We start from the raw sequence: 21249 nt of genomic DNA, 5'->3' as shown, positions 1-21249 counted from the left end.
GGCTGACGCAGGAGAATCGCTTGAACCCAGGAGGTGGAGGTTGCAGTGAGCCAGATGGTGCCACTGCACTCCAGCCTGGGTGACAGAGTGAGACTCCATCTCAAAAAAAAAAAAAAAAGGAGATTAAAAATAGCACCCACTTCCCAGAGGTGTTGTAAGGCTTAAATGAGTAAATATGCAGAGAAGTACCTAAATCCTAAACACCTGTACGCTATATATCATAGCTATGATTATTGTGAGCTATTTTTACTGTGGCCAGGAAAGCCAAGAAGGCCCAGGTGAGTTTACTGAGCATCCTACTCAGTCCTGACCTTCACACCCAGAGCCAGATGGGGTTGGTGGGGCCCCAAGCACCAGGAGTTGGCATGAATGTGCATGCTGAACTGCCTCCCAGCCTAAGGCATGACAATAAGGGGGTTGGGTTCCGGGGCCAGAAACACTCAGGTTCCTATCCCTGCTTCCTCACTTGTTGGCTGGGTGACCTAAGGCAAGTGACATCACCTCTCTGAATCTCCAATTCCTCACCAGTGAAATGGACAGAATAGAAATAACTGATTTCACCATGTATCAAGCACATTACCCAACTCATAATATATCCCCAATAAAAGTTAACTATTATGATTTATTATGTGGTTGCTGCTAAAGATAAAAAGGTTTTCTCCTAATAAATCTTAGCTGTCAATGTCAGCATCATCTTCTATTTTGAAGATTCCAACTTAAATTCCGGCCAACACCAAAATGTTCTTTCTGACCCCATGCAGAATGGGAGTCAGATCATATCATTCCTGGCTTCAAACGGTCACATGGGTCCCCAGTGCAATTAGGATAAAATCCAAACTCCTTAGCACAGCCCACCAGGCCTTTCAGGATCTGGACTCTTGCCTAGTTCTCCAGCCTCACTGGTAACCCCCTACCTCTGACTCATGGCTTCCTGGCTCCCCTTCTAGTCCCTTGCTCTGACCTCAGAGATTTTGCTCTTGCTTTTCCCAAGGCTGGCTCCATCTCACCATTCAAGACACCCTCAAATGTCATCTTCTTTCACAACCCAACCTGCCCTGGCAGTCCCACCTCTAACCAGAAAGGCTGGATCACATTCCCTGTTTTATTTTCTTTGTAGTGCTTGTTTGGTTGCAGGTTTATTCCCTGTGCCTCCATTTGAACATAAGCTTCATGAGAACAGGGACCCTGTCTGTCTTCAACACAGAATCCTTAGTGACCAACCCAGTGCCTGGCACCCAGCATATCTATAATCATGAATAGATGAATCCATGTATATCCATTAGCACAGGATGACCTGACATTTAGTTTTATGAGGTGCTAAATGTCTGTTGGAGGACAGAATCTACTACTGAAAACCCTTCACACAGGACCTCAAAAATACTGAGTTAATAAACATCCACTGAATAAATATACTTGCCATACAAAGACCCAGCACACAGAAGCAGTCAGTAAATATCGACTAGAATGATCACTGGGGGGTTCTGAGCACAGAGTATCTCTTTCCCTCCTCCTGGTTCCCACCCTCTGGGTATGGTGCTCTCTACCTTGGCCCAGCTGCTTGCCCTCCGTTCCTGGTTCCTCCAGCCGGTATCTTTCCTGGGCGCTGTTACCAAGGCTCAGTTCACAAAGAGTGGCACTCAGCTCCGGGTCTTCAAACTCCAAGGAGTTGAGGAAGGCATCACCAGCCAGGAGGGGGTCAGCCATGAGAGGGGAACAGGGTGGGGAGGGGGAGGAGAGAGAGGAACGTGGGGATAGGGAGGTCATGGACTTTGGGGTGCCAGACAGGGAACGCAGAGCCTGCAGGCGGCCACCTCCCTCTGCCTTCTGGGTCTTGGCCACCTCATCCTCGTGGATGGTGGTGATGCAGCCTGAGGGCCGGAAGCCGGTGGCCCCCTCCAGGAGCAGGAACTCCACCTTGCTCTGCAGCTCTGAGTCCAGCTGCTCAAAGGGGTCATAGTAGAGGTCAGTGAAGCTGGCTGAAGTGGAGGAGTCCAGGCTGGATGCAACCAGGGAGCCCCGGCTGGACGTGAGGGATCCGGGGCTGCTGCCTGAGGACAGGGACTGCATGCTGCTTGAGAGACTGGGACACAGGGAGGGGAAGGACAGTGAGATGCACACAGTGAAGTGGGCCCCCTGAGACCTTCTGCTGAGCTCTGGAAAGCACCATGATCTCACTAGACTTGCTTGGCAATCTCTAGGGTAGACCCTTCACCCCCACTTCATGGAAAACTGATACCCCAAGAAGGCCACATAATCAAGACATGGCAGAGCTGGGCTTTGGACTCAAGTTATAGCTGCCTTAAAAGTCCACTTTTTCCTCTAAATCTGTGTTTCCCAAAGCTCCAATTGGCTACGTTGCATTTGTATGATATGTTTTCATAGTTGAATCCATTATGTAATAAAGATTTCTTAATATCTTTCTTGAAATCAACTCACTGTGTTTTTTTTTTTTTTTTTTTTTTTGGGGGGGGATGGAGTCTTGCTCTGTCGCCAGGCTGGAGTGCAGTGGGGCGATCTCGGCTCACTGCAACCTCCGCCTCCTGGGTTTAAGCAATTCTCCTGCCTCAGCCTCCCAAGTGGCTGGGACTACAGGCACCTGCCACCACGCCCGGTTAATTTTTTGTATTTTAGTAGAGAGGGGGTTTCACCGTGTTGCCCAGGCTAGTCTCGAACTCCTGAGCTCAGGCAATCCGCCTGCGTCGGCCTCCCAAAGTGGTAGGATTACAGGCGTAAGCCACCACGCCTGCCCCAACTCACTGTTTTAATACTTTAAAACATCTATATTAAAAGGAAACTTTACATCCTAAGTGTAATTTGAAAAGCAGTATCACTTACTACAAAGAGAAGACCACCATTAGAAAAAAATCTAATGGAACAAAATGTTATTGAATTCCACTGATGCACTGTTGTTCATGGAGGCCCAGGTCTGAGGCTACATTCTCTGTGTTGTGCAGGTAGGTGGCAGTGTGAGTTTCCTAAGGCTTTTTTTTTCTTTTTGGAGACAAGGTCTGGCTCTATCACCCAGGCTGGAGTGCAGTAGCACAATCTCGGCTCACGGTAAGCCTCCTCCCGGGCTCAAGTCATCCTCCCACCTCAGCCTCCTGAGTAGCTGGGACCACAGGCATGCACCACCACACCCAGCTAATTTTGTATTTTTAGTTTCGCCATGTTGCTCAGGCTGGCTTCAAACTCCTGAGCTGAAGCGATCCACCCACCTTGGCCTCCCAAAGTGCTGGGATTACAGGTGTGAGCCATGACACCCAGCCGAGTCTCTTAAGACTACCTATTACCTGCCTGGGGCCTTCTTTGTGCTATCAGTCTGGAGAGGTCAAGACCCCTATTCCTAGCTACACCAGGCCACGCCCGAGTCTGCTGACAATCCATTTGCTATGCTTCTAAACATCCACTCTCAAGCCACGGAGGACAAGTGAAGGGTAGAGCCTGGGCTGGGACACTGGGGACACCCATGTCTGGCCATGCCCAGGGGAGCAGTGGCCTCACCGCCCACCACTCACCTTTTCAGCTGGGAGTGCAGAGTTGCCACCTGCCGGGTGGCTTCCTCCAGTTCTCTCACAAGCTGGTTCCTCTTACTGTTTAACTTTAACCTGGAAGGAGAGAAAGCATGCGAGGGATGCACCAAAAGGAAGCACAGGCATGCACTCTTACCCATGTACACCCAGACCCACAGGCACAAGAACTTTCCGTAAAGCATTTGACCACGGCATCTGGGGAGCTAGAGCTTCCACATATATTATAATCCTATGATAACTGCAATATCACTCACCCACTATATATATATATCAGGCACTCTGCTGGGAACCTTAGGACACTGCCTTAATTCAGTCACACAATAATGCTGCATAGTAAGAATGATTTTTACCACTTTACATAAGAGGAAATCGAGGCCCTTAGAGTTGTATAATTTACCTAAAGCTGTGGAATTAGTGGCAGAATTAGGATTTCACCCAACCATACCCTCCTTCTCTTCCTTCCTCCATCTTTCAGCTCATATTTACTGAATGCCCGTTTTGTACTGGACCCTGCCTGTGGCACTGGGGATAAAGTAGTGAGTGAGCACAGTAGGACTTGTTTCTGTTCTTATAGGGCTTACATTCTACTGGGGAGAACCGATATTAAAGAAATACTCAAATATCTAATTAACACAGTGTGTGACAAGGTCCATGAAGAAAAAGTACAAATGGTAGAAAAGAACACAAAAGGAGAGGCCCAATTTGAACTGGCAGGTGAGCCTCTTCCAGTCAAGTGACTCTGTGGCTGAGACTGGTGGTGTGTACCCTGCCTCCACCATTTTCCCAGCCTTCCCTGTGGCCGGGTGGGCAGGGCGTATGACCAAGTTCTGGCCAATGGGATGTGAGCACTAGTAGTTAAGAAAAGTGTGTGTGTCTTCTTTACTGTCTGTTGCATGGACTCTTGTGGACTCAAAGGGGAGGCGTCACAGATGGAAAGAGCCTGAGTTCCTGAATGACCACATGGAAGGCTGCCTGTTAACTGGACATACCCAATTAGACATTATATGAACAAAAAATAAACCCGTTGTATGAAGCCACGGAGACTTTGGGGGCTGTTTCTTGCAGCAGTTAGATTCCTGACTAGTAGAGAAATTTAAGGATGGATAATGGACAGCAGTTGGCTAGGAAAAGTGCAGGAGGGAAGAACATTCCAAGCAGGGGCTTTAGCAAAGACCTTATCATCTTGAGGTCACCATGACTGTGGGGAGGACAATGGGCAGGAGGCTGAAGACTGAAGGCGGGGAGGGTGGCTGTGAGGTGTAACCGAGATGGTGGAGGCTTGAGCAATGCAGAGACAGAGACAGTGCCTGGGCTGCAGGAGCAGCTGAGGCTGAGGGAGTAAATGTGGAAGACTGTGCGGTTACTGCTACGGGCAGCCAAGTGGCCCTGCAGATGGCATCTGCTAAGAGGAAAAGGCTGAGGCAGAGGATCCCGGGGGAAGAGAAGAGCTCTATTATGGATATGTGGGTATGAATACTGAACAGGTGGGCTGCTCTAAAGGTCGGGGCGGGGGGGTCCCTATCAGATGGATCACCACCTGAATGAGATTACCATCTGTTCTGGCTTGATTTTTGTCCCCCGAAATCCTACATCGAAGTCCTAAGCAGCAGTACCTCCAAATGTGATTATATTTGGAGATAGGGCTTTTAAGAAGTAATTAAGGTAAAATGAGGTCAGTAGGGCAGACTCTAATCCAGTATGACTGGTGTCCTTCTAAGAGGAGATTAGGGCACAGGCACGGGGGAAGACCATGTGAAACGGAGGGAGGAGGAGGCCACCTACAAGCCAAGGGAAGAGACCTCAGAAGAAAGCAACCCCACTGACATCTGATCTTGGACTTTTAGCTTCCAGACTGTGAGAAAATAAATGTCCACTGTTTAAGTCACCCAGTCAGTCTGTGGTACGTTGTTATGGCAGCCCTAGTAGACTCACGCACCATCTTAGGGCAAAATACAGAAGCAAAAACAAGGGAAGGCCTAGGACCAAGCTCTGAGTACACACAACATTCTGAGGTTGGATGGACTGGCAACAGTCAGCAAAGGAGCTGGAGAGAATGGGACCAGAGAGTCGGGAGAAGTTAGTGGATGTGACGGAATGTCACAGAACTGGAAGCAAAGATTTTCACCCAGGCATGCCTGACACCAAAGCCCAATTCAGTAAACTATCTCCCTGGAGACAAATCCTTGTGTTTGGAAGAGACCTCTGGCTTTTGGACCATATCTCAGCCCTGACCTCTCCTGAAACCTCCCATGGAGGGCAGCTTGGGTGGACTCCAGGGTGTGTCTTTGCCCCTGGAATGGCTCTCCAACCCCTGGAGTGGGCCCACTACAAAATAAAGGGCCCTATCGAGCAAGCCTGTGCCCTCACAAACTCGTGACCTGGGCTGCTCTCATGTGTCTACTAGACTAGTCTTTCTCCGCCTGTGGCCCACAGACTACCTGCATCAGAAAGCGGAGAGTGCTTATTGAAATGCACATTCCTGGGCCCTACTTTGACCTGCTGAATCAAAAAGCCCAGGGGTAGGGCCCAGAAATCTCTCTTTTCATTAAGCCTCCCAGGTGATCTTTAGGCACACCAAGGTTTGCAAGTTGCTGCACTGTATGGGGATGGCAGAGAGGCAGAGGCTGTGTCTTGCTCACCCAGCACCTAGCACCCAGCACAGTGCCCACCATGTAGACATGCTCAATATTTGCTGAATGGATGACTTTTTCTCCAGATGAAGCCAGGCACAGTTTATGAGCTCTGCTGAAAGACCTGCATATTATTATACCTTCCATGGACAGATGTGTTCCACTGTTGGCCTCCATCCCCTCATGTCAACCTGCTGAAGAGGGGATGACTGACTAGTTGATCCCTGGACTAGGGAGTGAAACTAGGATACAGCTAACCCAGCCTGGGGCCTGGGAGAAAGGGCTCATTTCCATGGAAAAGCCAAGTCATGCCATCCCTCTACCCACACATCCAAGCCCCCAGCACACGCCCTGCAGTAAAGACCAGAGCTTGCTCTAAACACAACGGAAAAGTGTTGAGGGGTGGGTCGGGCTTGTTACTGGACAACTAAATCCGTGAAATCACAGACAAGGCAACAGGAGCAGCAGGCAGAGTGGCCTTGGCATGGTTCTTGGTCAGCTCAATCCCTGGCACTGTTCTTCTAGAGTCCTGCCTGAGGCTGGGGTGGGGGTGCACAGTGGGTTGGCAGATGGAACCCGTAATAAACAAAATCCTTGACTTTCAACACAATGAACAAGGCTGTGGAATCTCTTGACCCAGTATAAAAGGAAAGCTCAGGAACAGTTGAGGTCCAGGATCAAGGAGCAGCTGGCGCTCACCATTTTTACCTTGGTTTTCCTCTTCTCTGTGGGAGAAAAGCCACAGAGGTGTGTGCTGGGAGTAAATGTGGGTCCCCAGTGAAGCCTCAAGAGGATGATGAGGGGTCTGGGAGTTGGGCTGCCATGACGTCCTGGCATTAGGGGCTAGCTACTGCTAGCAATGCACAGGTGCCGAGGCCACCTCCCAGTGGCATTGGGTTTTGCAGGATAGATGGCACATGTGTGAGATGCCTGGCACACGCTGGGAGGCCAAGAACGCATCAAGCATGGAGGCAGGCAGAGGATCCAGAAGGTGGGGCTGGAGTCCCCACAAGCTGTATTTCAGCACCTTGGGTGCTGGTTAAAAATGTAAGAACCTGGGCTGCATCTCAGGCCGGAAGAATCGGTCCCTGGGGTGGGCCAGGGAGCCTGTGCGCTAGCAAGTATCCTGCATGACTGCACACCAGCTCTGGGGAGCAGTGGGGAAGGCCCTCGGGAAGGAGGGGGAGGCAGAGGGTAGGATGAGGTTTGTTTGGATGCCTGTGAGTCTGACTGATTTGTGAGCGGGGTTTGGCAGGTCCTGCAGTCGGCCTCTCCTGGATGTGTCTATTCCTGTCCTCAAAGGCACCTTGAATGTGAGGCTGTTGTGTGAAGATGAGGAGCATAATAATCCCATTTTGAGAGACAGAGAATAGAGAAAGAGGAGCGAGGGGAGACAGAGAGAAAGAAACAGAGACACTAAAAATAAAGATACACACACATGAGAAACAAAGACAGAAGGGAAACAGAATATGAGTCAGAAGGATGAACACAGACAGACTGACATGGAGCTGGAAGGAAACAGCTGCAGACACAAAGACAGCTGGGGCGGCTTTCCCGTCTCCCCACTGTGGGAGACCCACAGCCATGAGCATGGTACCCCATTCCTGTGGGCTTCCTCCTTAGACTCCTCTTAGGGCATACATGGCTGCCTGCCTGCATGCCCTCCAGTTTCCCTACCACTGCATTTGCCCCAAGCACCCTCCTACCAGGCCCTCCGAGCTGCCCGCTCAGCAGCTGCAGAGGAGTGGAGGTTCTGGCCTCCCTGTACTAGCTATGTGAACTCACTGCTCCTGAGGAGCCAGCAGACCTTTGAAAGATGGGGTTGAAGGCAATAACAGAAGGCCTTCTGAGTGGCGAGCATCCTAAAGGGAGCACAGCCTCTGGGGTTAGCAAACTTGTGGTCTTCTAATCCCAGCTCTGGCACTTAGGGATCTCGGGTGAGCCTCAGTTTCCTCATTTTTAAAATGGGGATTAACCTCAGGGATCCTGGGAGGTTTAAATGAGATTATATAGGCTACTGTCTGGCACAGGATGGGAGCTTTTACATGTGGTATATCCTAGGGGTCCCTAAGAGCCTCCAATTCGAGTTTCAAGAAACCAACAATTTTACAGAAGGGAAGAGCCTCAATTCACAGCCTCGTCTAACTGCCTGCCTTCAGACCATATATGTATTTAATGTAATTACAGTAAATCCTCAACATTGTAGATAGGTTCTTGCTAACTGTAACTTTAAGCAAAATGATGTACATCAAATTCTTAAATGTCATTTTTTAATAAAGTTGATAGAGCTGGGTGCAGTGGGTCATGCCTGTAATCTCAGCACTTTGGAAGGCCGAGGCACGTGGATCACCTGAGGTCAGGAGTTTGAGACCAGCCTGGCCAACATGGTGAAACCCCACCTCTACTAAAATACAAAAATTAGCTGGGTGTGGTGGTGCACACTTGTAATCCCAGCTACTCGGGAGGCTAAGTCAGGAGAATTGCTTGAACTCGGAAGGTGGAAGTTGCAGTAAGCCGAGATCGTGCCACTGCACTCCAGCCTGGGTGACAAGGCAAGACTCCATCTCGAAAAAAATAAAAATAAAACATAAAGTTGATGGAAAAAAATTGGTTTCATTGTATGTAGTTTTGCTTAAAGTCACAGTTTTCCAAGAACCTACTAACAAATGTTAAGTGAGACTTAATGTATCCTGTTTTTTCCCTATTATGCAAGTGAAACCCAAATTGGTCAATGACTTGCTCAAGGTCAGCAAGTGAGAAGCGTATTGCTTTTGACCCAACAAGGAGTGAAGCTGCCATGAATCTGTTCTCTTCAGCTGCTGGCTGTGGGGATGATGAATAGCTAAGGGCTTCCCAGTGGCAATTACAGGGTCTGGGAGCAAGTGAGGGACCCAGGGAATGGGTATAAAGACCAGGAGATATACACAGAGGCCCAGTAAGGGTCTACCTAGGCCAGCTAACCATTTATTCTTTCAACGAACACTAAAGGCATGCGGGCATATAGACACAGGCCTTATCCCCAAAGCGTAAAATCCCAGAGAAAGCAGAATGGAGTCGTGGTGCTAAAGAAGACTTCTAGCAAGGTGCTTCCAAGGGCTGCAGAACACCAATTATTCAAGCTCTGTCCTTCTCCTTCTCCCACCAACTGGTGGTGGATCAGGGCTAATCAGCTGCTGCTGCCAATGAAGAACGGAAGAGAGGAAATGGATACGCTTTGGACATCACTGTTAGCAGTTCTGACTAAGCAACTAGTGCGGAGAGATTCCTACCATCGATGAGTCAAGGGGGTCTCTGAAGCCATGGGAGGCCAGGCAAGAACTTGGGGAACCCGATCCACCTGGCACCATGCCATGTGCAAGTGGGGCCTACTCAGTTGCTAGAATGGTACTGCAAGCTGGGTGCCTTAGAGCTCAAAGGCTCTCTGGAAGCCCCATGATGGGGTGACAGAGTGAGCACAGACAGCATCTCTAGGACTCCCGACTGCTTCCACTGAGGCAGTAGGCACGTTTACTTGCTTCATAGACTGGGCCTCTGCCTCTGATTTCACTAGAAAAAGGAATTCCCTTGCTCATATTCCAAACACACACACACCACATATGCCACACACACACACACACACACACACACACACACACACGCCCCCCCCCCCCCCCCACACACACACACTTGAAAATCTCTAGCTTCACTTCTAAGCTCCTTACGGGCAGGGACCTTGCTGAATAAAGGCTCCTGCCAAAAAATGGTGAAAATAACTAGAATAGATTTAAAGGTCATGGGGCAGGGACCATGTCTTGTTAATTTCTGAGTGCCCCAAATTGCCTTGCACACACAATCTGTGCAGCAAAAGGTTTCTCAAATGAATGAGTAAACATTGGCTGATGAACAGAATGAATAAATGAACATGAAGCTGGAGAGCTTTGTAAAGCCTATGGTGAACGCAGTGTTGCATTCGGTGCAATGTGGGTGAGGAGGTTGGTGGGAACACTGAAGGAAATAAACAAAGACAATGTCTATAATAAGGTCTAAATTAAAGAATGTAAACCGGTGGCTTTTAGGTTATATCAGGCCCATAGATGAGGCTGATTTGCATATTTTTTTAAAAAAACTTCTGGATTAGTTCCCAATATTTAAAAATAAAAAATCTGAACGACTCTTTTGTTTGAAGTACAGGCAGCTCTGGCAGCCCGAGGCCTGCACTCCCATTTGCTGGAGCAGAGAGACAGCACCTGCTTTAGACCAGTGGGGTCTGTGCACTCTGGTCTAACACAGACCACTGCCAGGTGGGTCTCTAGCATTTCTGTGACCTGCTTGGCTCCTATAAGCATGCCAGTTTGCAACCCCTATCCAGACCAGTGTTTTTCAAACTGCAAACTGCAACCCCTTACTTAGCATGGGGTGAAATCAATTTGGTGAGTCACAAACTGCATGAAACAAAATGCAACAGAAGGGAGAAAACATCAGAGGACCATCAGAGGTAGAAAGAGCATGCACTATTTTGTGAACCTTGGATCAGGTTACAGTATAAAATGTGCATCACTGTCAAAAAGTTGGAAAATGACTGCTTTAAGTTATATAGAGTTATGTGGCTTAATTGAGTCAGAAGATACATTTTTGAACACCTGCACCTAAGCAGACTTTTTGGTAGCATGATTCACCATGCAAAATTCCAGGGTAGCTGGCGCACTGGATGGCAAACCATCTTTCCTGATTTCCTATGTCGGCAACCTGAGAGATCTCTGAACTGAGCGTGCTCAGGGTGGAGCCCAGGGGCCCGGAGCCCCCTCATTCTTCCCCCATCTGGGGGCTGAGGACAGACTGCCAGTGAGAGAAGGGTCCTACACACCCTGGGGCCCCAGCCCCACCTCTCCGTCAGCGCCTTGCTCTGGGTGTCCCGGGCTGCCTGCAGGTCCTTTTCCAGCCGCTTCCGGGCCATCTCCAGCTGCTCCACCTCCCCCTGGGTCCACTTGCGGGGGCTGATGAAGCGCATCTCCTTCAGCAGCTCCTCCTTCTCGTTGATAAGGATCAGCCGGTCCCTCTCTGAGTCCAGCACCCCAGGCCAGGCCTCACTGTCAAGCTTGGCCAGCTGGATCTTCAGGTTGGCGATCCTGGGGGCCAAGAAAGCAAGCATGACTGGTGTGCCTAATGGCACTGAGGGAACAGGAGATGCCATGAAGAAACAGACATCTCAGAGCAATCTTTGACAGTTACTGTCTTCCTTTGATCAGCTTGTCATCTCAAGGAACCTATTTTTTTTCTAAACAAACACATGTGGGTGCCTACCATGTGCCAACAATGAAGTAGGCTCTGCAGGAATGGGGTGCAGACATGAACAAGGCAATGTCCTTGCCCTGTTCCTGGTACAATAGAGATGTGGATTCATCACCAGGCACTAACCTCTTAGCACTGGCTGTGTGGCCTTGGGCAAGTTGCTCATCTCTCTGAATGGAATAACAAAAGCTCTTTCCTCATGTTATTTTGGTTGAAGGTTTTATGATATAATCTGTAACCTGCAAAGCACAGTACTTGGCACATAGTAAGTCCTTGCTACTGTTGTTATGACCTGATGTGACTGCTTATTAGGTATGTAACATTGGGCCAATTCCCCAGGCCTTAAAGATAAGAAAAATTCATTCATCAGAATGATTGGGAAGGGTGTCTGGCACATAACAAGTACTGAGTCACTGACAGTTCTGGACCACTAAGACTACAACTACTGACCGCGTATTCTCAATTCAGAGACAGGTAGTGGCACTGTGTGAACAACTGTGGATTTGGGGTCAGAGGCCTGGAGTTGGAGTCCTGGCTCGCTCTGGCCTTCATGATGGAAGGGACCATTTCTCAAGAAAGCATTTTGGTATCACAAGCTTCTAGCACAGTCACTGGTATATTGCAGGCACTAAATAACAGTTAAAGGAAAGAGCTGGCAGCCTCATCCCTTAACTTCTCTAAGACTCCATATCCTCATCTATAAGGCAGAGATGATATGGTACCTATAGGGTGGGTTATGTGAGAACACAGCATTAAGAGCCCTTTATACATTGCCAGGTGTTATATAGATCTTCAGTATTATTATCATTGGGCCAAAATAAGATCCACAGTATAACAATGAATACTGCTACAAATAGCTAACAACAATCATGACATCATCCTTTAGGACTTGGCCTCTGCAAAGTACCATCAGCTCTCACGCCCTGGCCACCCCATCTCTAAAGGGTGATTAAGATAGGAGTTGTTCACCTGGTTGGACAGATGCCCAGGGAGGATATGATGCACCTAAGACTGCAAATCATAAACGTGGCCAACACTTGTTGAGACCAGAGGCCTCTGGACTCCCAGTTCAATCTTACGTGCAGACAATGTGGCCCAATTCTTATTTTATCAGAACACTGCTGGGGACAAAATTTACCATGATGTGCAGCAAAAATTCCATGTAGAAAAACATACCTAGATTTGCTTGTTCCCCAGGCAAGTGTCCCAGGAGGAATTCTTATACACTTGACCCTTGGTATCTGCAGGGGATTGGTTCCAGGACCTCCCACAGGTACCAAAATTCATGGATGCTCAAGTGCTTTATATAAAATGGCATAGTGTTTACATATAACCTATGCATACTCTCCTGTATACTTTAAATCATCTCTAGATTACTTATAATACCCAACACAATGTAAATGCTATGTAAATAGTTGTTATACTATATTTAAAAATTTGTATTGTTTTTTAATTTTTTTTCCTGGATACTTTTGATCCTTGGTTGGTTGAATCTGCAGATGCAGAACCCGTGGGTACAGAGGACTGACTGTAGTTAGTTATTTAAATTCACATTCATGTATACAGTAATCTATCAAGATCAGCTTTGAGACAACTTTGTAGCTGCTGTTCTGCAGTACTTTGAGAACGAAATGGTATGGTAAGGCCGGGCAGGGGCTCCACCATATGCAGGACATTGGGAAGTGACTGATGCTTTACTGGATATACTTTCTCTTTCCCTATGTCAATGCTCCTTAAATTTCAGGCCTTACATCCTTTTAAGAATCTGATAAACACAACTAGTCTCTCTTCTCAGAAATGCATGTGTGACAAAACTTGACATCCAATGATCAGACCCTCCTTGGATTACAGACACCTCCCTTCCCTCTTTCAAGTCCTGAAGCTTGCTTTCCCATTGAGCAGGCTGCTCTGTCCTTTACACTAAAATGAGCTTCGGGTGGAGGGGCAAGCAAGAGGCTGCATAAAGTCAGATGAGCTAGGAAGCTCTGTGATGAGAAGTCTAATGGCTCAACTCCAGAGAGAGCACTGCAGTCCTTTAGTGTCTCAAGGACTGACCATCTAAGACAGGCATTCCTGCAGGATGGAACAGATCCAAGGTTCAGAGTGGTCCTCTTCAGAGAGAACAAGAAGTGGCTGTCCAAATACAGATGTCTTGCTGTTTTGCTGGACGCCTGGGGGAGCTGAAATAGTACATAGGACATCTGTTTTTTTCTACCTGACCAGTATTCAATTCCTTCTTCTTTTGTTAATAATATTCCAATTTGTCTTTGGGAAATCACTCCTTTCGTACTTTCAAGTCACCTGGTTCCCATACAGCTGACTTTTCCCAGCACTGGAAACACGACGCATGCCTAGACCTTTAGAGAATCCTAATTTTGCCCACCCCCAACTGTCCTGTAACAAAGCTTGGTTCACCCAAAAATGCCAGGGAGTCTCAAACCCAAGGCTAGTTAAAACTATTGGGAAAGGTAGGCCCCCTTTCCACAGGGATTGCTAACCTGGTAGTGTGTAAGCTCCGAATTGCTGGGAGTTGCCTGGCCACATTGACAGGAAAGTCTGCTGGAGGGTAAAGCCAACATAAAGGCAAGCAGGGTGAAGAAAAGGAGAGAGACTGAGTCTGGGTAACATCATCTGAGTCCCTGGATCCAGCTGTGCCTGAAGCTAGGTATCTCAGGACTTTGGAGTTAAATAACACAATACATTCCCTTTTTTGCTTTCTCTGGTTTCTATTAGATTTCTGTCATCTCTGCAAAGAGTTCTACTATTCACACAGAGTTGGCAGAGGGGCAGAGCTGGGCACTGCCATGCTTCACCTGGCCTGGCTGAGAAGGTCCACAGGCCAGGCAACTTAGTCTAGGAAGGAATGGATGCAATGTGCCTGGCTTCCATCCACACCACAATGCCCAGGGCATTCTTTGCCAGTAACACTGGCTCAGAGTACAGAAAGATCATGAACTTGGCCGGGTGCGGTAGCTCACATCTGTAATCCCAGCACTTTGGGAGGCTGAGGTGGGTGGATCACAAGGTCAGGAGACTGAGACCATCCTGGCTAACACGGTGAAACCCCGTCTCTACTAAAAAATACAAAAAAATTAGCCGGGCGTTGTGACGGGTGCCTGTAGTCCCAGCTACTCGGGAGGCTGAGGCAGGAGAATGGCGTGAACCCGGGAGGCGGAGCTTGCAGATCGCGCCACTGCACTCCATCCTGGGTGACAGAGCGAGACTCCGTCTCAAAAAAAAAAAAAAAAAAAAAGCAAAGATCATGAACTTAAAGACAGATTGTCCAGGATTCAAATTCTGCCTCTACCACCTGGAATAGTCATGAAATATCTTGGTCTTACCTTTCTCCTCTCTAACATGGAGATAATAAGATAGACCCTGTGCTATAAGGTTGCTTTTAAAATTAAATGAGAAGATGCATTGCTTTTAAAATTAAATGAGAAGATGCATGCACAAATGTTTTAGTACAATAAACAATCTCAGCCAAGGGTAGTGGTGCGTGCCTGTAATCCCAGCTACTCAGGAGGCTGAGGTGGGAGGATCAATTAAGGCCAGGAGTTCAAGACCAGCCTGAGTAACATAGCGAGACCCTGTCCCTAAAAAAGAAAACAAAGTAATTAAAAATAAAAATCTCTTTAGGCCTATAACAGATGCTCTAAAAATGTCAGCTTTGATTATTATTTTGATTTTACTTGTGGTAGTGGAACCTGATTGCTTAGGATTCTGTGAAGCCACAGAACATCTAAATCCCAGAGGTCTACACTGCTTAAAAGCCCAGCTTGCTCCCAGCTGTGCAGGAGACACTGAAGTGGGTAGTGTCCATAATCTTTTTAGCCTGTTGCTGAAATTCCAGTTGTACTCCTTCAAACCAAAATGCTTACAGGATCATGGGAAAGCCTCGGTTGCAGAAATCAAGACAGGCAAGTGGGAAGATAACTCGGCTTTGAGGTTAAACAGATCTGGGTTCAAAGCATAGTTTCACTCTCTGTCTTGTGAAGTGTCCTGGGTGAGTCATTTCCTCTCTGAATTTCAGAGAGGATGAAAATATAAAAAGTATAATAACTATCTTCATAATCTTTGTGAGGATTAAAGAAGACGAAGTGTGTGAAAAGCTAAGCACAGAGCAGGCATTCTACAATAGTAGTTATTATTTTTGGAACCATCCCGCCCCTAGCCCCAGCCCAATTACCTTCTCTTAGCCTCTTCATATCGAAGGCGCAATCTGACCTTCTCTGCCAACTGATTGTTGCTGTTGATGCCGAACTGGAGGAGAAGAACAAAGTCAGGAATTATGTGGCTGTTGTGGCCGGTGCTGAGTTGGGTTTCGAGGGCTCATGAGAGACTTGACAGCTTGCGTGGGCAGTAGCCAAGAATAGCCCCCGGTGACTGGGCTGGCGGTGCAGATCGCAGGGAAGCTGGTTAAGCAAAAACACTTTCCTCCCTTCAGGCCACGGGAAGAACCGTACGCTCAGACATCGATCACTTTGAAAATAGAAGCCAAAAGCCCAGAATATCATCTTGCAGCCCCAAATGGCTTGGCTTGGTGCCCATTCAAGCCACAGAAGCATGGAGGACAGTTGGTGAGGAGGAAACAGGGATAGCCAATATCAAGAAACTCATTCTAGGGGCACTGGTGAGGGGATCCATAGAAAACTCAGAGGCTGCAGTCAGGAGTGAAACACTGGGTAGTTGGGGAGAAGACCCCTGCACTCACAAAGAGGGGTACAGTTCCTTTACAAATACTTTGGCCTGCAGATGGCTAGTAGCTGGACACATGGTGGTATGGGGAAGGAAGGGACAGCCTCTTTTTCTGTGCTAGTCTGTTAAGAGCAGCAAGAAGCTACAAGGCTCACCGGTCACCCTTGGACAAGTGGGAAGACAGCTATGGAACTTAGATAGGAACAGCATATAGAGGCTGTCCGCCACAGAGGCTGGAAGGCAGATTCGTTCAATGTTGCTGGCTCTAGTAAAACAAAAGCTCTCCAAAAGTTACGAGGCACCATGGTTCAGCCCTACTCTAACTCTTTCCTGAGCCACATCTGGACAGTGCTTTCACTATTCATAACTAGGACTGGACTGAGCTTTGGAACTGGGAGTCAAGCAGCTGCCTGAAAGCTGCATGCATTGTTTTGAGACTAACAGGAGGAAAATATCCTCTGCTGTCCAGCTGGGGAAAGAAAAATGAAAATGGAACTGCAAAATAGTATGGAAAAAAAAAACCAGAGAAAGACATTTTGTCCTTTAAACATGCTTTCTGTGCAGCATTAAGAGACACAAGCACCTGGCCAGGCAATACTCAGGGCCATGACGTCCGTCAGTGCAGGCTTTTCCTCCACAGCATCACATCATATCCTCCTGGGGCCAGGAGGTCTGTAAGAGAACAGAGCTCCAGAGGGCTGAGGCAGCAGCCAGCCCTGCAGAGAACCCCTGGCCAGCTCCCTGGTGAGCCATGAGAAGGCAGCTGTCCATTACAGCAGCCTCCCAGCTGCCATCCTGTGGAAGGCCCCCAGCAACCTGCCCCGTCTACTCACGCTTCCCGAGATGTCTGTCTGGGAGCTCACATCCAGGTACTGTTTCGGTAGCGGGAAACTCGAACTCTCCAGAGAGCTGCTGCTGGACCACAGGTCTGAGTGAGACCCCCTGTCAGTGCGGAAGCCGTCCTTCAACATGGCAAGGCTCTGAAGGAGGGGAGAGCAGGGTTAGTGATGCGCCTTCCCAGGAGGGAGCTCTGGGTCTGCCACGCTCCCTGTGCTTCCCTCTCTACCCTCCCTTAATTTAGGAACCTGTGCCCTCCCCAGATATCCTACTGATCCTGTGATAGAGAGCTAGCAGTGAGTGGGTCCTTGCTGTGTGCCAGGCTCTGCGCTGGGCCTATGACATAGGAGAAACCGGTGTGGATGCCGACTCTGGAGCCACATGCCCTAGTTGGAATCCCTGCTCTGCTGCTTCCCAGCTGTGTGACTTGACCTAGCTGAATAACCTCTCTTTGCCTCAATTTCCTCTCCTATAAAATGGGAATAATCAGCTGGGTGCTCATGCCTGTAATCCCAGTGCTTTGAGAGGCCGAGCTGGGAGGATCACTTGAGGCCAGGAATTCAAGATCAGCCTGGGCAACACAGTGGGACTCCCATCTCTAAAAAAAAAAAAAAAAAAAAATAGCTGGATGTGGCGGTGCATGTCTGTAGTTCCAACTACTTGGGAGGCTGAGGTGGGAGGATTGCTTGAGCCCAGGAGTTTGACGCTGCAGTGAGCTATGATCATGCCACTGCATTCCAGCCTGGGTGATAGAGCGAGACCCTGGTTCTTAAAAAAAAAAGGGGGGAAGAATCGCAGGTCCTATCTCACAGGGCCATCATCTTGATTAAATGAGATGACAAGTATAAAACACTAGTGAATACAGCCCATACTCAGTAACTGTCAGCTTTACCAGAGTCTTACTGAATCCTGACAATAGTCATACAAAGAATGACCTATGATTATCCCCAATTTATCGATGAGAAGCTGGCAATTGACCGAGGCAAGATTTGGACCTGGTCTATCTGGCTTAAGGCTCCATGATCTCAACCACTAATCATAACAGGAACATGCCTCACTGTCCATGAGCTCTTCATCTAAATGTTTTCACTGGGCTGCTGTCCTGGGCAGGAGCTTCCAAACTGTTCTGTTTCTCATAGAGCATACAGCTTCCTTCACTAAGTCATTTATAGCATCTCTGAGGACTCCTAATCTGCCAGTGAAATATCTGAGGTCAGGGTGGTTTGTGGAAAGGGAGGTGATATGTACAGGGGGTAAGAGAATGGGTCTGTAAGTCAGGGTTTGAATCACCGCTCTAGCTTCCTCTCTGAGTTGTACAGTCTTTTTTCTGTAGGATGGGGATAAACTAGGGTTGATTTAAGAGATGAGACATGATGCATACAAAAGGCTTGGCATAATCACCTGGCACATTACATAATATCTATTATAATTTGTTCAGTTCCCAGCATAGAGGCAGAACACACAATGAAATGCTTATAGAGATGCTACATTTTGATGTCAGAGGTTAATGATGTTGAAACCACCTCCCTCCATTTCATTCCTTGAAAAATAAGGCAGGGGCCAGGTGCGCTGGCTCAAGCCTGTAATCCCAGCACTTTGGGAGGCTAAGGTGGGAGAATCTCTTGAGCCCAGGAGTTATCAAGACCAGCCTGAGCAACATAGCAAGACTCTCTCTCTCTCTCTTTATTTATTTATTTATTTATTTTTTGAGACAGAGTCTCACTGTTTCGCCCAGGCCAGACTGCAGTGGTGCTATCTCGGCTCACTGCAAGCTCCACCTCCTGGGTTCACGCCATTCTCCTGCCTCAGCCTCCCGAGTAGCTGGGACTACAGGCGCCCGCCACTGCAACTGGCTTATTTTTTGTATTTTTTAGTAGAGACGGGGTTTCTCCGTGTTAGCCAGGATGGTCTCGATCTCCTGACCCCATGATCCGCCCGCCTCAGCCTCCCAAAGTGCTGGGATTACAGGCGTGAGCCACCGCGCCCGGCCGACTCTCCCTATTAAAAAATAAAAGTTTAAAAAACAAAGAAAAAATAAGTCAGGTAGTTAGAGCTAGTGGCAAGGATGTGGCCTTTGGACTAGGCCAGATGACTTCCATTCCAACTCTGCCATTTACACTAGCTGTGTGACCTTATGCAAAGTCACTTAATGCTTCTGAGCCTCCACGTCCTCCTCTATGAAATGGAACCAAAACCCCAGGAAGACTGGTAATGAGAACTCAGTGATGTGTGTACCACGTGGAAATAGCCCGCATACGACTGGCATACAGGAATACTCAGGAGAAATCAAGATGGCACCCACATCAACAGGAACTTGCATACCTTAATGAGATCTTGCTTTTCCTTTTCCCCACAGGTAATAGCCTTTTTGATGGCTTTTGTTTCTCTCAAGACAGCCTGAGCTTCATCCAGTTTGTAGCTGCCCTGAGCATCAGACATTTTCTTATCGATTCTAGGAGACAGTTAATGGGAAAGGTCAGCCTTAGATAGGGTGAGGGACAGGGTCTCCCCAGGGGAAAAGCACAGACCACAGGACTTCAGTCCCTTAAGAAGGCCCCTCCCTCTGTCCTGCTAACCCTTCCTCCCTAGGTCCCACTTGTGGGATAAGGCATAGAAGGTCCCGGGCTGGGCATGGTGGCTCACACCTGTAATCCCAACACTTTGGGAGGCCAAGGCAGGTGGATCACTTGAGGCCAGGAGTTCAAGACTAACTTGAGCAACATGGTGAAACCCCGTCTCTACCAAAAATACAAAAATCAGCTGGGCATGGTGGCACAAGCCTGTAATTCCAGCTGCCTGAGAGGCTGAGGCATGAGAATTGCTTGAACCTGGGAGGCAGAGGTTGTAGTGAGCTGAGATCATGCCACTGCACTCCAGCCTGGGAGACAGAACAAGACTCCGTCTCAAAAAAAAAAAAAAGAAAGAAAGAAAAGGAAAAAAAAAAAAGGCATAGAAAGTCCCTGTTAAACGGCCAACGTGTGTGGCTGCAGAAGCAACACTGCTCATGAAGTCACAGTCCTCTAAACATCAGCTCTTATGGGAAGCCTTCCCTGATTACTTCCCTGGGTCCTCCGGGCTGGGTAGGGGCTTCCCATATACATCACACATAGCTGTGACTCTGCAGTCGTTACATTGTGTGATAATTTATAGTTTATGCGGTAGCATCGTTGACTTGACTCTGGGAGGCTTGGGAACAGGAGGCAGAGTTGAACGTGTCTGTCTCATTCTTTTTTGGAGGGAGGGCAGGCTGTCCTGTGCATTGTATGATATTTAGCAGTATACCTGGCCTCACCCCACAAGATGCTGGTGGTACCCCCACCCTGAATGGTGACAACTGAAAATATCTCCATGTATTACCTAATGTCCCTTGAGGGAGACGGAGCAAAATCATGCTGGTCAAGAACCAGTCTTTAATAAGCATGTGTTGAGCTAATGAACACAATGAAGAAAAGGAGAGAAGGATGAAAAACTCCCAGCCCTACTACCTATTACTAGGATGACCCTGAGGTTGTCTCTCAAATACACAGAGCCTCAGTTTCCTCCTCTAAAAAGCCTGGATAACATTATCCACCTAGCCCATACTCATGAAGTTGTCAAGAACATCAAATGGAATATGGGATGGGCAATCTTGTGATGAGCTAAGAATTACTGTACAAACATAAGGGATTAAAACGCTTCTAGTCTGGAGAGCTTATTGGCTTATCCAGGCCCTACATACAGGTTCATTTTGATGGGGGAAAAATTAAAAAAAAAAAAAAAAAAGTGTCCTGACATAGTTTTCTGAAGGTCAGACCAAACCAGAGACAGGCAGGGGTGAGCTTCTGGAGAAGGAGGGCCGAGGTGTCAAAAAGGTCCAGGGGCAGAGATGCATTTTAACTACATCACACTTTCGCCAAAGGCTAGGCCTGAGGTTTCAGTCCAAGGTGGAGAAAAAGGAGTTTTACAGTCTGCGGGAACACCACAAACTCATTATTTCAGGATGAGAAACTACTCACAGGCATTCCTTTGTGGTTTCCTGCTACAGACCAAACTGTCCTGGGCTAAAAATAACCCTCATGGGGAATCCTGAGCAGAAGCAAGTTTTCATCCCGGCCTCATCGTCTGCGCCTCCAAGCAGAGGAGAGAGCGAGGCATGGAGCACGGTCTCAACACAGGCTCCCCCTGCGGTTACTTCAGCCTCCATGGAGAGAAAACAAAGCCCCGTTTATGTCTCCCCACTAAAAATAGCCTGTCTATTCCTTTCCAGGACTCGGGCCTCGGCAGGCCTATCAGGTCGGCAAGGACCG

At 48.1% G+C, this 21249-nt stretch overlaps 1 protein-coding gene across 18 annotated transcripts in view, besides 1 other annotated feature; it reads right to left on the bottom strand.

Annotated features, from left to right (window-relative positions):
* Positions 1 to 21249, bottom strand: part of WWC1 (WW and C2 domain containing 1) — a 180659-nt gene that overhangs the window by 46691 nt on the left and 112719 nt on the right. For 11 of the 18 annotated variants that reach the window (XM_011534485.2, XM_011534486.2, XM_011534488.2 and 8 more), the window contains 8 exons: positions 19286 to 19415; positions 16960 to 17106; positions 15618 to 15691; positions 13927 to 13984; positions 13484 to 13608; positions 11023 to 11265; positions 3516 to 3605; positions 1545 to 2080 (listed from right to left, as the gene is read on the bottom strand). In XM_011534485.2, the coding sequence (XP_011532787.1) occupies positions 1545 to 2080; positions 3516 to 3605; positions 11023 to 11265; positions 13484 to 13608; positions 13927 to 13984; positions 15618 to 15691; positions 16960 to 17106; positions 19286 to 19415 (1403 nt within the window). The remainder of the gene's footprint in view (positions 1 to 1544; positions 2081 to 3515; positions 3606 to 11022; positions 11266 to 13483; positions 13609 to 13926; positions 13985 to 15617; positions 15692 to 16959; positions 17107 to 19285; positions 19416 to 21249) is intronic. The other 7 variants (XM_005265850.2, XM_047417017.1, XM_047417018.1 and 4 more) reach the window with 1 other exon arrangement.
* Positions 15083 to 16282: an enhancer, noted in NCBI's record as "MED14-independent group 3 enhancer chr5:167836336-167837535 (GRCh37/hg19 assembly coordinates)". NCBI's record gives its function as "activates an origin of replication core promoter dependent on BRD2, BRD4, P300/CBP and CDK7 cofactors, and independent of MED14, by STARR-seq in HCT116 cells {active_cell/tissue: HCT116}" and the evidence as "EXISTENCE:reporter gene assay evidence [ECO:0000049][PMID:35650434]".

The sequence above is a fragment of the Homo sapiens genome, chromosome 5 (assembly GCF_000001405.40).
Source record: "Homo sapiens chromosome 5, GRCh38.p14 Primary Assembly".
Taxonomy (NCBI): domain Eukaryota; kingdom Metazoa; phylum Chordata; class Mammalia; order Primates; family Hominidae; genus Homo; species Homo sapiens.
Note: the sequence above shows the minus strand (reverse complement) of the source record. Positions and strands in the feature narration are given on the sequence as shown.